We start from the raw sequence: 14955 nt of genomic DNA on the forward strand, positions 1-14955 counted from the left end.
CCTTACTGTCCAAACCGTGCATGCTTGGGAGCATCCAGATTGGAAAGAATGTGCACGAGGTGGGCCCTCGAGAACACCAACCAGCTGGGAGTCCTGGGCTGGGCTTTTTCTCTATCCCTTGATTTCTGAATCTCTGAAGGCACAGAAAGCTTCTGTCCTGGCCAGCATCAATCAGCTGACCAGGGGGAACCAGCTCCAAGATTTACCCCCTTACTCTGAGTAGAGACTGGAAATAAAACGGCAGCATGTAAGAGAAATGCTTTAACTTTATAAAAAATGTGATAATACAGCAAGATATTGTTGGGGTTTTCTTTTTTTCTGTCAAGTAAGAAAAAAAAACACCTGGAATAAAAATTAGAAACATAATCTAAGAAAAATTGGAAACAAGCATTTCAAGGAAACAATTTGGAAAGATAAGGAAGAGAAAACAACAAGCAGCATGAGCAGCAAAAGCAGCAGCAACATGGGGGGAAAGCTGGCTCTGCTGTGAGGACAGAACAATCAAAGACCAACGTGCACCTTGCTTTCCATACCAGGCTGAGCTGAGGGGTGGGGTAAGGGTGGGCAGTAACCATCAGAGAGGCATGAAGGTTTCCCAGGTGGGATCAGCTGATGGCTGCTGGCTCACTGTGGGGAGAGGGTAGGCAATGGCCTCCTGCAAACGGGCCCAGATCCGCCCTCTTATAAGGCCTGCCAGCCAAGTGGCAGTGACGGATTTGGCTTAGCTGGCTCCCTCCTCTGTCCACTTGCTCCAATCTGCAGCTCTGCAGGTCACCATCCCACAGTGATGAGCTCAGCAAGCAGAGACTCATCAGAACGTCAGCCTAAGCTAGGGTAGCGAACTTGCCAGGGAGAACCAAGAAAACTAGATGTACAGGGCTGTATACAAAACACTTTTTGGAATGTCTGCACCATAGCCAAGGCAGAGTTAGGACCACTTTGGAGAGGCAGCTGGGAATGCTCCCAGCAACATTCCCCAGCCTTTCCCCCTAGGGAAGGGACATCCAAAGAACACTGGGTGAATTCTTGACTACATTCTGAGGTAGTCTAACTGTGACTTGGCACAGGTAGCTAAGAATGATCACAAAAAACAGAAGAAGGGAAGGCAGAAAAGTCGCCACAGAGAGAAAAGGCTAACATCTCTAACAGAAGAAGCTACACTACAAGTGGGCTCAGAGATGACCAGAATGCGTCCTGGGCTCGGGGTGGCCAGTGGCAGGGCCCACCCCTGGGCACATACAGCTCTCATAGCACACTTGATGCTGCAGCAGTGTGGCAGGAGATGAGGGAATCCATAGAGAGATTTCCTGGCCCAGAGCAGCAGCAACTGAGGTGAGGAGAGTCTGTCCTAACACCTAGTCCTCTGCTACCAACTCATGTCATGATGGGGATGAGCCAGACACCCCAGGGACCATGCAGTGAGGAGTCCCAACATTCCCTTCGACTACAACTTCTCTACCTGAATTTGTTTGTGGGGGAAACTAATACTGCCAGACTCTACTTGGAAACACTTTAGAGGTGAGGGAGCAATCAGATCCTAAGCCACTGAAAGAGAAGTAATGAGAATAAAAAGCAATGGTGTTGTTAGACTCCCCTATTTTTAAAATGCTAATTCACATTCTTTTTGTCTTCTGCCCCAGCGCTCAGAATTCTAAGTCAGAATGGAATGTTCCGAAGGATGAGGAGGCTGCAGCTGTGTGGACATTAGTATTTTCTCTGCTTTCCACATTTCCGAGAACGCCTTCTAGGCCGAAGCTCACCAAAGTCTTCAACTTCATTTTCATAATCATCTTCCTGAACAATACCTGAAGAAAGAAAGAAGGAAGGAAGGAAGGAAGGAAAGAAGGGAGGGAGGGAGGGAAGGAAAGAAGGAAGGAAGGAAGGAAGGAAAGGAGGAAGGGAGGAAGGAAGAAAGGAAGGAAGGGCAGAATGGTGATTTTTTTTCCCAATCCACTGTAAAATATAGCATCCTAGTAAAACCTAGTGTCTCCGTAATCATTGGTTTAAATTAATGAAATAAAACTTTCTGCCAGGGTTCCAGAGAAAGAGAGATTTCCTTTGAGTACTGATGACTCCCAAAAAGAGTCAAAGTAAACACCCTTCTCCAGAATTAAGTTCCTTTATAGGCTGGTTCCTCTTGCCCTATTTTAGAGGCCTTTTAAATAACAAAGAAATCAAGCAAAAAATAAACTCAACCATACACTTGAATTGGTATACCAATTCTCTTCCCTTTGAAATACACATCACAAAATCCAAGACCCCAGAAGGGACTAAATGCTAAAGATTTTTTATTGGCACAGACATTTGTGCCAAGTCCCTTCAAGTTTTCCCCACCTCTGGGGTCTGGATTTTCCAGGGGCATCTGCGGTTGATGAAATACTCAGAGCAAGAAGGAATGTGGTCCTGTGGCTGGAATGGGCAAAAGAAAAAACATTCTGGATCACATATAACTTGGCAAGATCATTCTGACTGCCAGGAGAGAAAGTGCTTCATTCTACACAAACTTTTAACCCTCTGTAGGAAGAAGCATTTAAGTTTCCCCAGTGATTTTGTTTGTTTTATTCAGAAGTATATCCCCAGGCGCAGAACAACACTAATATGTACTAGAACCTCAATAACTATCCACTGACTTAAATGACTGATCGACACAGGAAAACATTTCTCAAGGGATAGCTTCACAATGCTTTGTCCATCCTTGGGAGTCACTGCATTGAGTATGTGCAGTGACTGAGCATTATCAGTAACAGCTCATGAGCAGCAAGAGGTTTATGGCAACTAACATGTGCCCAGAATAATGGCCCTCATAATCAGATAAGAAAACTCAGATATTATGTTGCTAGTAATTTGAGTCACTGGAGGTGATGCTCCTAGACAGTGAGAGTCCACTATTGACATCACTGGGCTGCCCCACTTCAGATTCCCCCCGGGAGCCAGCAGTAATAAGAACCACAGGACCCAAAGTGTTACCTGTCCCCACAATCAAGACTCCTTACCTTCCTTCTTTAAGCGGGTCTCTGTTTTCATCAACCAGTCTCGTGCATCCCTGACTGACAGGATCAGAATGTTGACCAGCCGAGTCATCGCCTCCTCCGCTTCAGAAACCAAAGAACATGGCTCTGAGTAAAGATGCCATTGCAGGAACTAGAACACCAATTACTAGACCCAGAGTCCCCACATCCCAAGAGCTGGTCTCTATGTTTTCCCTGAAAAGAGCCCTCCTTATCGGGTAAGGGACCCAAAGCTGCCTTCTGCTGCTACAAGCATAAACTACAACTAAAGGCTAGCCTGACACCATTACTGTCTGTCTATAGAGACTGCCACAACTGCAAACCTTTCTAAGACACTTGTGTCCAAAATGTCATTAAACCTTAAACTGGAAAGAGTATCTGAATTATGGAACATTTTAAAATATGCAATTTCACTAAGTTTATACATAACTTCTACATAGTGTTGATAAGAAGTAGCTAGTAAAAAAGCCAAGGAACTATAATCCCAGCACCTTGGGACACCAAGGCAGGCAGATTACCTGGGATCAGGAGTTTGAGACCAGCCTGGCCAACATGGTGAAACCACATCTTTACTAAAAATACAAAAATTAGCTGTGCATGGTGATAGTCACCTGTAATCCCAGCTACTTGGGAGGCTGAGGCAGGTGAATCATTTGAACCCAGGAAGCGGAGATTGCAGTGAGCCAAGATCACGCCACTGCACTCCAGCCTGGGCGACACAGTGAGACTCCATCTCTATTTAAAAAAAAAAAAAAACGGGAAATCTGATTCTAAAATAACATAAGAATTCTATTAAAGGCTCACACTGGGTATGACTTAAAGACCCTCCTAAAAGGAAGAGACCAGCTAGACCAGCTACACACTTCCAGATCTTAGTCAGGGGATGAATGGGTCAAGAGAACCTTAAAGAGTTTTCTTAACACCTTAAACATTTTCCCTGTATCTTCTCCACAGAAGATTATTCTGGCAAGAATCATTCTGACTGCCAGGAGAGAAAGCGATTCATTCTACACAAGCTTTTAACCCTCTGTAGGAAGAGGCATGCAAGTTTCTGGAGTACCTGGGGAAACCATCCCAAGCCAAGGATAATGACAAACTTTTAACTGGGGGAGGGGTAATCCAACCAATGAGGTTCGCTATAACTTGAGAATATATATTCCTCATTTGTATTTCTTCTAAGGCCAAGATTCCACCATCCCCAAGTCAGAAGCCACGACAAGGAATTTAACCCTGAGAAATGTCCTCAGAGCCCAGGTCTCACTCTGCCTGGGCCCCCATCTCTGCAGACCCTTACCGCCAGCCCAGGCCTTCCGCCTGTAGAGGTCCTCCACCATATCCGAAACCCTCTTGATGTGCTCCTGGACCTTCTGCAGCATGTGGCTGTGCTCCTTGGAGCCCACGTGACTGTGGATCCATACACTTTGCTCGATGTCCTGCACCACCAGCTTGCCTTCATCAATGGCCGGGTCCACCTTCTCGTGGAAAAATTCTGAGTATTTCTGGTAGGCCACTTGCTGCCTCTGGTGGTGTTCTAGATGGATATGCTGCTCGTAAGACTCGCTGTTCCTCTCCTGACACTCCTCCCTTTCCAGCTCAGCCCTGGAAAGGACTGCCACCTCGGAAGCTGCCCCCTCAAACGCTTTGCTGGGGCTGAAATAGTTCTCTGGGCCACGGGTAAACTTCACTCCACATAGGTCACACTGGGTCCTGTCCACGTCTGCCTTTTTGAAGTTCCCAGCCCTGGGCTCCCTGGCCTCCTCCCTGACACGCTCCATCTGGGTGCCCACTCTTCTCCTCCAACTGATGCACAGAGACACCACCAGGCATGCCCTCCTCAACTTCCGCTGTATGGAGGCCTTCCGTTGCTTTTGGGAAAGAATGGTGGCCAGGACGTGGTCTCGGTCTTCTAATGCCAGTTCATCCATCTCATCCTGGCCAAACTCACACTCAGGTTCAGCAAAGTAGTCCACAGGGTCCAAACAGAGCAGGCGGTTTAGTCTGACCTCCTCATAATAGAGGCCACGGACTATGGACCCTTTGGTGTGCACAGGGTCCCACCGCCAGTCACAGTCCATTAGGTACTCTTCATCCCGCTCAAAGAGCAGGTCCTGCAGTGCCTCAGCCACAGACTTCACATTGACTGCCACCAAGACCCGCTTCACCACCTTCAGGAGCCTCTCGGGAACCTGGCCAGGGCAGTCCATGCTCATGAGCTGCAGCCTTGACTCAATCTCCCGGAAGTGGCGATACAGGAGAGGCTTGCAGTATGGCTGCAGGATCTCCTCAGCATTCACTAGCATCACCAAGCACAGCACCAGTGTCCGCTCAGCCTCACCCGAGACCACATAGTCTATTTCACTGAAGGCATCAAGCAGGACGTTGAAGTTCACATTCTCATAGCCACATAGCACCTTGGCGAGGTAGGAGAGATGGAACCGGAAATCCTGAATGGCTCTTGTCACGTCCTTGGGTTTGTATTCCTGAATGATGGAGAACACATCCCCAAGCTCCTTGTCCTTCTTGCTAAACAGGAACTCCCAGTAGTGCAAGAGTGCAATGTAGCTCTTGGGGAGGCATAGAATGACATTCTTCCAGAGGCGGGCCAGCACCACCCCACAGTGGATGAACTGGAACTCCAGGAGGGCTACTGTGTTTCCAATGCTGGGGATGAGTGGTTCTTTGCACCTCTTGATGAGGACATTCATGAAACGGAAAAAGAGCCTCTTGTAGTCTTCTGGGTTCCTGTACACGTAGAATTGATCAATGCAATTCTCCAGAAGCCGGATGAAGCACAGGTGGGTCTTGTCCATATTTTCATCATCCCTGTTGGGTGCCAGCATGCCAAATTTCCCTTCTATTCCTTTTATCCTGCTGCCTCTCCCCCTGCCCCTTTCATCCTTTTCAGACTCTAGAGCTTTGAGTTCCCTGTTGTAGTTGTCCTCCTCCTGGTGGAGCAGCTTTTCAAACTCCTCCGGGTAGTTGGAAGAGAGAAGGAAAGCTTGCATGGCACTCAGCCACAGGTCTGTGGATTCCCGGCGGTTGCGTGCGCTTTCATTTTCAAACAGAAAGTGGATGTACTCCTTCAAAGCAAATCTGTAGAACCGGAAGGATTTGTAATTTGGTTTGAGGATTTCTTTGCATGCCATGGGGTTTTCTGACAACACTCTCTGATGGAAATGCTTAGGGAAAAGGACATCCAGAATGGACTTGCAAAGGCCATACATATCTGTAGACAAAATATAATCAATTTCTTTAAGTTCTTCTGCTAAGATTTTAGGGAATACTTTTTTGGCTTCCAAAAGCAACCCGTTGATTGCCACCAAGTTCATTTTCGACTGAACTAAACACTTGGCTTCACAACGCCGCAGAGGCCTGTGAAAATGTTCACAGTTTTCATCCTCACATTTTAAGCCTACAATAAACCTCATGCAGACTCCTCGGTAGGTCTTCCCAAGCAGGCTCCGTGTGATCTGACACAGCCTGCCCAAAAGGTGTTTGTTTAGGGCTAATTTCACTTGGTCAGTCATTATCAAAAAATGATCTTTTGTTTTTTTCTCTCTCAAGTTCAAATCCAGGTCAAAAATTATTCTTAATATGGGCCCAGGGTCATTCTGAGCTATCTGGCAATACTTGGCATCCACCTGGGAAATCCCAAAAAACTCAAAGCAAGATTTGACCATTTCCTTCTCAGCATTGTTGGTCACTCTTTTGAGAGCCCTGACCAGACTGAGGAGGATTTCCAAGCCCCCTGGAGCCAGGCCCAGAATCTTCTCAGGCTCGGCCTCACACTGGCTGGCTGCTTCGTAGAGTGCTTCCACCACTCCAGCTGAGTGGTTGAGCGTGTCAAACTTGAAGAAGGCATCCCTGAGCTTCTGAAAGTCTCTCAGGATTACCCCTTGCAGGAAGTGGGCCTCCGCAATGCCAGACAACTGGCCAGTTTGATAGCAGATATCAAGTGCTTCTCTCAGAATGTCCTTGGTGTGTTCTATGTCGGAATCCCTGGCCACATTGAGGCGGGCGGCCCCCAGCAGACATGAGGCCTGGAAGTCCTTGTCGGCAGTGAGCCTGGCAGCCTCCAGGAGGCAGCCATGTTGCTTCATCAGCAGGGCAGCCTCTTCTCTCCTACCTTCCCTGTTCAGCAGGTCTGCAGCTTCTGCTAAGCGTTTCCGAGACTTCAAGAACACCAGCTGGTCTTCTATGTCTAGCTTTGAGAGGACAGCCATCATTTCCTTCATCTTATTTGCACTCAGATACTTTGCTGCAGCTTCCAAGTAAAACTGACTGGCAGAATAGGAGAGCTTGGAAATGGGAAGGGTCTTAGTCTTTAGCATTTCTTCATACCTGCAAAGACAAAGGACACAAATGTCAACTTGCCATCACCCAATCAATAGAAAATTTCCTCCAAAATACAGTGCAGAGCAACTTAAATAAAACTCCCACATGTAGATATTACAAAATAAAACCTAAACTTGTCAAGCATTCAAGTATTTTTACAAAGGCCTTATTTTACACTGTTACCAGTATAATAATAATGAATAAATTCCTTATGCTTCAATCAGGAATTGGTGTGCTTAATTAATGAAATATAGTGGAGGTGTAACTCAAACAAGTGGGAGTGAAATCCAAAAGTCAATCTATAGGGCAAATGTTATGCATAGTCTAAATTATCCTTGAAAAACATCTCTTTGGTTCTCATAAAAGCATCATAATCATCTGGGTCTACAACTCTGTTCAGTTTGATAAAATGAGAAAGGATGAAATGGGGGCTGCACATGCATCAGCAATTACACCAGTCTTCCCCTTATTACCCAACTTGTGATTCTTCTCTTTTAGCAGGTGTGCATTAGTTGGGTTCCTGTGAGATTAATGAGGCTCTGAAGGACTCCCCTTTATTCTGCTGATGGAAGTCAGAATACGTCATTATATACACACTCATAACATACTCCCATCCCCCTCAGCCCCCTCTCTTTGTGACACTGCATCAAAGCTTATAAAGAGACTGGAAAATAGAGTCCTGCTCTCAAAGAGCTGCTGACCCAGCACTGAGGCCATCGCTTAAGTGGAAAGGGAGCAATGTGGTCAAACCATGTCAGAAGCAGCAGGATAGCACCACCCAGAGCAGGCTGCCCCCAGAGAGAAGTGGGAGGAAGAGAGGGAGAAAGGGAGAGAATAAAACCACCTACTTTTCCACTGCAATAGCAGCTTCTTCAAAAAGCTCCTCTTGGCAGTACATTTTGAGTGCTAGATCAAATTCCTGAATCTGCTCAAAGCATCTGAAAGCGTCTTTGTAGCACTGGCTTCGCTTATAGAAATAGGCAGCATCTCTTATCTAGGATGGAGTAAATTTTACTTTTATTTAGAGTACTCATGATTAACTTTCTAATCTTAAACCAATACCACAAGTAATAAAGAGGATAGTCATATGTCTGCTTTCTGTTAGAATCCAGTTAAAAACCCTAGGCCGGGCGTGGTGGCTCACGCCTGTAATCCCAGCACTTTGGGAGGCCGAGGCGGGCGGATCACGAGGTCAGGAGATTGAGACCATCCCGGCTAAAACGGTGAAACCCCGTCTCTACTAAAAATACAAAAAATTAGCCGGGCGTAGTGGCGGGCGCCTGTAGTCCCAGCTACTTGGGAGGCTGAGGCAGGAGAATGGCGTGAACCCGGGAGGCGGAGCTTGCAGTGAGCCGAGATCCCGCCACTGCACTCCAGCCTGGGCGACAGAGCGAGACTCCGTCTCAAAAAAAAAAAAAAAAAAAAAAAAAAACCCTGTAACATAGATAATGTTAGGAAAACCAATTATTTAAGGGGAGAAAAATAAAGTTAAATCCCAACCTCACAGCACACACAGAGGTAAGCCCCAGGTAGATTAAAGATCTAAATGTGGAAACTACTGTGGGAAAATATGTGAGAATATCTTTGTGACCTTGAGGTCACACTCAAGTGGAAGGAGTCTTCACGTAACTTCCAAAAATAACATAATCAACAAAACCCAAAACACAAATTTCAGGAGAAAAACTGATGGATCAAACTGATACATCAAAACTGCTCAACAAAAGACACATGAAATAAGCTAACTTTTAAAAAAATAACACCTAGATCAGTACTGTCCAATAGAAGTTTCTGTGAAGACGAAAATGTATTGTTTCTTTGCTATCCAATCTCACCACTAGTCACATCTGAATGTTGGGCCTTTAAAATGTGGGTAATGCAACCAAGGAACTGAACTTTTAAATTAATTTAATTTTAATTATTTTAAAGTTAAAGAGTCACACATGGCTAATGGCTACTGTACTAGACTGGGCCTGTCTAGACAAAAAGAACTCTTGCAACCACAAGAAAAAGACTTTCCTCGAGACACAACAGAAAGCTAGGCAAAGGATATAAGCTGGCAGTTTACAGTGGGGTAAACTTGAATGACTAACAAATAAATAAAAATGCTCAACTTTACTGACAATCAGAAGAATACAAATTAAAGCCACAGTGAAATACATCCACCAGGTTTGAAAAATTAGAAAATCACAATCTGCTGACTGTGGTCAAGAATGTGGGGAATGCAGAACCCTCATGCACAAAGTGGAATGGCTATCCCAGAAAGCGAAGGGACTGTACTTAGTGAAGTGAAGCATGTGCATACCCTAGGCCAGCAAGCCTGCTCCTGGCAATACATCTTGAAGAAGTATCTCACAGAACCCTAAAAAGACATACTGTGCCAAGGTGCTATGTGTGGGAGCCAGGAGCCAGTGGCAACCTGGAAGTGCCTCACAGGGAAATGAATTCATCAATGCAGTCAATGCCCACTCAGGAATACATGGCTGTCAGAAGCATGGCCAGACCTAACACTATATAGCAAGGGACGGAAAAGGTAAAACACAGAGAAAGATGTCTTCTAGATAAGCCTAAAGTATATATATATGTATAGAAGACACCACTATTCATTTTTCAATAATGCATGCATTTGAGCACATATAAAAATGTATTAGAATGACTACCAATGAGAAAAGAATGAGAATGGAAACTGGTTGTGAAGAAGAGGATAAACAAAATAACATGCAATGATTGGGCCCCATACCCACCAATGGTGGGCTTGCCATGAACAGAAGAGTCTACGAGACTCTTCTTCCTATCACAGCTCCCATCCAGTTCACCAGCTAATCCTGTCTGCTCGGTTTCCCTAACATTTCCCAGATATGCCACCATCCCACCACTTCCACCACCACCATGGTAGTCCAGGCCCTATCATTTCAGCCTAAGCTGATGCTAGACTCTAACTGGCCTTTCTGCTTCAGCTCTTGCTGCCCTATAGACCTCTTCACAGAGCATCCAGATAATTAGCTTCATGTCAGTCTTCCCATCAAAGTCTTCCACTGGCTTCCCATCATGCTTGAACAAAGCCCAGTCCTTGCCACAGTCACCAAGGCCCTACTGATCTGGCCCTGCCACTTTCTCTTACTCATTTACCATTTCTTGTGGTCATCTCACCCAAACTGACTAGCAAGGTTCAAATCAACCAACTTGGCAGCAGCCTTCTTCTGGATCCTCAGGATCCATCACCTGCCTTTTCCCAGTTCCCAAATGCATTCTATCCACGGAAAGAAATGTTTATGCAGGTGCCACAAGAGTGAAAGCTTTCCTTTCAGGGATTCCTGTGCCTTGCCTGCTTCTTGCCTCTAGAGAGCAGCGTTGTATCCCTGTTCCATTCCCTTCTCCCACATCTTAAGAAGTCACATCCCATAATAAACATGGAACAGGGTAGGCAGCATCTGGAGGGCCTTATCCTCTTCTTCGCATTGACTTGGGGCCACACTTCAAACTTCCCAGTAGGTCCCACTCCTACCCCTCTCAATGCCCAGGGTGCTCTGAGGATCCCATGAGTCACCATATTTCACATACAGACAAGAAAACCCCCTTTCCTACTGAAGGATATTGACACCTGATAGGGGAAAATGCAATGGCCCACAGCTCCTTAAGCACAGTTTCTCCAACTACCTGTGGTAAGGGACCAAATCATTTTAAATTTCCGATCCATCACAGTTGATATGTTAAAAAATGAATTGATGGGAAGATTATCACCACTTGGATGTCAAAGCAATGCCAAATGGCAATAAAAAAATTCTGCTTACTTTTATCTTCTGTGTTAATCTTGCTGCAGACAAATAATAGTTTGTAGCCTGCTGACCACTCTGTGAGTAGCTGTGTTCCAGACTAGCAGCTCTGTCCAACAGAGCTTTCTGCAATGATGGAAATGTTCTGTTAACAATGAGCACTTGCCATTGTGGCTAGTAAGACTGAGGATGTGAATTTTTAATATTATTATATTTTAATTAATTTAAATTGTAAATTAAATAGCTACATGTGACTGCTGAATTGGATAGTGCAGATCTAGAGTGATTACTAGGAACACAGCCGAGGAACCTCCATCTAAATGCCAGGCCACTCAGCCAAGGTGACTGAAGACTAGGAACACAGAGAAAGAAAAGGGGTATTCTAAAACCCTTCTGCCCTTTGGCTTGAGCATTTGGCTTCCCTGTGGTTAATATTAGGCCCTGAATATTAACACAGACATTAACACACAAACACACACACACACACGCACATGCATACTGTCTTCAGAGCCTCCTCAAAGTTTGCCCAAGTAGTGAAAGTAGGCTTCCCTTAGAGTCGCAGGGCCAGTGTCTCCCTCCTTGGAAGACTGCAGCCTCTTCCTGCTATGAGTAGAGGTCGAGCCTACCCCTCAATCTGCTCAAGTGAAGCCCAGTTTTCCCTGGAGCAGCAGCGGACTAGGAGCCATACCTTTCCCAGCCTCTCGCACAGCTGGGCAGAGAGCTGGAACTCCTTGGCATAGCTCAGACACTTAAGGGACAGTGTTGGCTCTTTGCACTCCAAATAGGTCTTAGCCAATTCCAAATATTCCAACTGCTTTTCCCTAGGGGAAGGAAAACAAAATAATATTTCCACGGAACATTGACCCTACACCAATATTTAACCTGCTACTCCCATCGGAGCAAACCAGAAGTGATCCCAAGACTCTTACTTGGGGCTGACTTTCTTGGATTTCATGCTCAGGGCAGTGTCATGGGCCAGGGCCAACTTCTCCTTCTCAAATGCACCTCCTTTCTGGTAACACTTGGCTGCAACCTGGAATAGGCAAAAAGTTTTATTCCCAGCAAGGTAATGGAGGTAACAGACAGAACAACGGTTAAAGCATGCATTATAAGTTTGTACTGACAAAACATGAAGTCTTGCTCCAGCCCAATCTGAGAAGGAGGAGCAGGAAGGTGCAGATATTCTAAAGAAAGTAGTCTTGGAGGATAAAACCCAACAGTATTCACATTCAGTGGTATCTTTTGGAAGCACCCGTCGAAAAGGTACAGAATATGTATTTTTTCAAGCTACCATAGTAACACCCTTATTTAATCTTCCAACAGCCACAGCAATAAGTATCATCCTTCTCATTGTATATAGTTGCTACTTCAGGTCAGAGCCATGGAGCAACTGGCCCAAAGTTACCCAGTGGCTCTTCTGGGCTTTGACCCAGTTGGTGAGTACAACAGCTACTTTGCAGTGTTGGCAGAACAGCTGGAGTACACGTACTGGAGGTAGAAATGGGGATAAAGATGGTATCACAACACATCCAGATCCCTGGGGCATGCAGATCTGTTACCAAATCCTCTGACTATAAGGTAGGCAAACAAATGTCACAGAGGAGTCAGGCTTCACTCTGATCTTTGCCAGCAGAAAGCTGCTTTTCTAAAACAGGGGTGCTGATGCTATGTCTCAAAGCACACAATACATGGGCAGGAAGTTCACATTCTGCCCAGCATGTACACATTAGGTCTCAGTGTGGGCAAGGGAGGGACTAAGTGGCACATGCTGATAAGGTGGACAGGATGATCACTCTCCCCTTCATGCTATCTGTGTGGGTCTCCTTTCATTCCCGTGACCTGTGCCATTTCCTTCCCATTGCAGGGCCTTTGCACACACTGTTCCTTCTAACTGAAATGCTCTTCGGTCCTTTCCCTGTCTTGTTAACTTCATTCATTCTACAGGTTTCAGTTCAAGGCTATGTTCCTCAAAGAAGGGTTCCCACGCCTCTATTTCCAGGACAGTTGGTTCTGGGAGCAGCTGGTCTCTCATCTGTGACACCTGCAACAGCTGCAGCTGTGCATTGGTCTATATGCCTGTTTTGCTTACCATCAGATTCCTGGGATCTAAATATAATGCTTGGCCCATAGCTGCTGAAGACTAGGAACATAGAGAAAGAAAAGGGGCATTCTAAAAACCCTTTTTGTTGAATGAATGAATCTTCTGTGGTGGTTCTGAAACATTTATTGACATGCAGCCAAAAACTCAATAAACCACCTGAGTCCTGAAGTCCTTTAGCAGGGTCAAAATAAAGTCAGGTGAAGAGAAGGCTTTTTATAACATTCTCATCTGTGCCAGTTCCCCTAAAAAGATTTTAGATTCAAATATTCAAAAGGTATTTTTAAAGCGATAAATAATTGGATATCCATGGGCAACACATATGGGTAACAGCAACAGTGTTCTGAAGGGAATAAAGGGTAAGATTTTATATAGTTTTCCAATTTCAGACCCATACCTGCTGCCCATATTATCCCTCCCTTCCCTCCCTAACACCTAACCCCTGCCCCACCAAAAAAAAAAAAAAAATTCTTGGTTTCATAACAACGGCCAAACATTCAGTGTTTCTTTCCAATTCTAACAAGGATGGGCAGTGAAGAAAATTGTGAGGCTTGGTCAACTTCTGCAGCTAAATACTACATACTTAGGAAAATACTTTCCAGACCTACCCAAACCTACAATAGCATAAATTGTACTTTTCACCCCATATAATACATTGCCAGGGTGGCCACAGTTCTTAACTCCTCCCTGTATCTGTCCACACCCCCTTACAGTGTAACTTTCCAGCTTCTCCCATCAAGAGTCCTGCCTATTTACCCTCCCGTCCAATCTAGGCTGAGACTTGCTTTGGCAACAGAATTCAGCAGAAGCGGCACTGGGCCAGTTCCAAGGCCAGGCCTCAAGGGGCCTTGTGTGCTTCTGTTCACGTTCTTTGAACCCTGCTCAGGCATCACGTGAACAAACCCAGACTAGCCTGCTGGAGGAGGAAAGAAATGTGATCCAGGAACCCCAGTCACCCCTGTCCCCCCGGTCCCCTGAGCCAAGAGCCAGCCAACCCCCAGAAGCAGACATGCCCAGCTGACTGCAGACACATGAGGTGCTCAGCTGAGCACAGAACCACTCAGATGAACTCAGCACTGCCAATCCTTAGAACTGTGAGCCACATAAATGACTTGTGTTAAGCCACTATGTTTCAGGATTGTTATGCAGCAAGAAGTAACTGATAAATCCCAGATGTAAGTTATATGCTACAGACTTAAAGCAATTTCCCTGAAACAATAGACAAAACTCTTCGAAGAACTGGAGCTGAGAAAACATTGGAAATTCCTTCTCCAGGCATGTCAGATCACAGATACCTCACACTGTGGCTTCTGTTAAGTCCTGAACTTGTGATTTCATTGTCCTCATCACTTCCCAGAACCTTTACTCAGGCCCAACTCCATGAAATTCCAATGAGAAGAAGGATCATTAGAGAAGCAGGACAAGCCCTCCATAGAAAACACTGTTGCAAAACATTTGTTCCAAAGCGGCAAGAGAAAGTGCAGATACTTTTCCTGTAACATTTGAGGAGCTGGAGCCTCCTAACATGAACACTGAGGTGTAGAAAGAAAGATGGTGATCTTTCCAAAACCCAGATCCAGTTGTTGTTTCAGAAAACATCATCTGCAGCTGCATGCATGCGGAACTCCAGGTGCCTGGGGTAGAGAAATCTTAGGGAAATGAGCATTTGGTATGGTCATGCCTGTGGTGTCAGACACTGCTGTTAGTTACCCACAGCAGTTCCTCCTCTCTTTCTTGCCTTTTG

The 14955-nt window shown here is 45.5% G+C and overlaps 1 protein-coding gene across 11 annotated transcripts in view; it reads right to left on the bottom strand.

Annotated features, from left to right (window-relative positions):
• Positions 1-248: 248 nt before the first annotated feature.
• The window catches only part of TRANK1 (tetratricopeptide repeat and ankyrin repeat containing 1), a 118926-nt gene continuing 104219 nt past the window's right edge, over positions 249-14955 (bottom strand). For 10 of the 11 annotated variants that reach the window (XM_017007570.2, NM_014831.3, XM_047449328.1 and 7 more), the window contains 6 exons: positions 12043-12146; positions 11802-11934; positions 8192-8337; positions 4303-7349; positions 2994-3092; positions 249-1805 (listed from right to left, as the gene is read on the bottom strand). In XM_017007570.2, the coding sequence (XP_016863059.1) occupies positions 1705-1805; positions 2994-3092; positions 4303-7349; positions 8192-8337; positions 11802-11934; positions 12043-12146 (3630 nt within the window). In that variant the 3' untranslated portion in view covers positions 249-1704. Of the gene's footprint in view, positions 1806-2993; positions 3093-4302; positions 7350-8191; positions 8338-11801; positions 11935-12042; positions 12147-14955 lie in introns of those variants that run through there. The other variant, XM_017007573.2, reaches the window with a different exon arrangement.

The sequence above is a fragment of the Homo sapiens genome, chromosome 3 (genome assembly GCF_000001405.40).
Source record: "Homo sapiens chromosome 3, GRCh38.p14 Primary Assembly".
Classification (NCBI taxonomy): domain Eukaryota; kingdom Metazoa; phylum Chordata; class Mammalia; order Primates; family Hominidae; genus Homo; species Homo sapiens.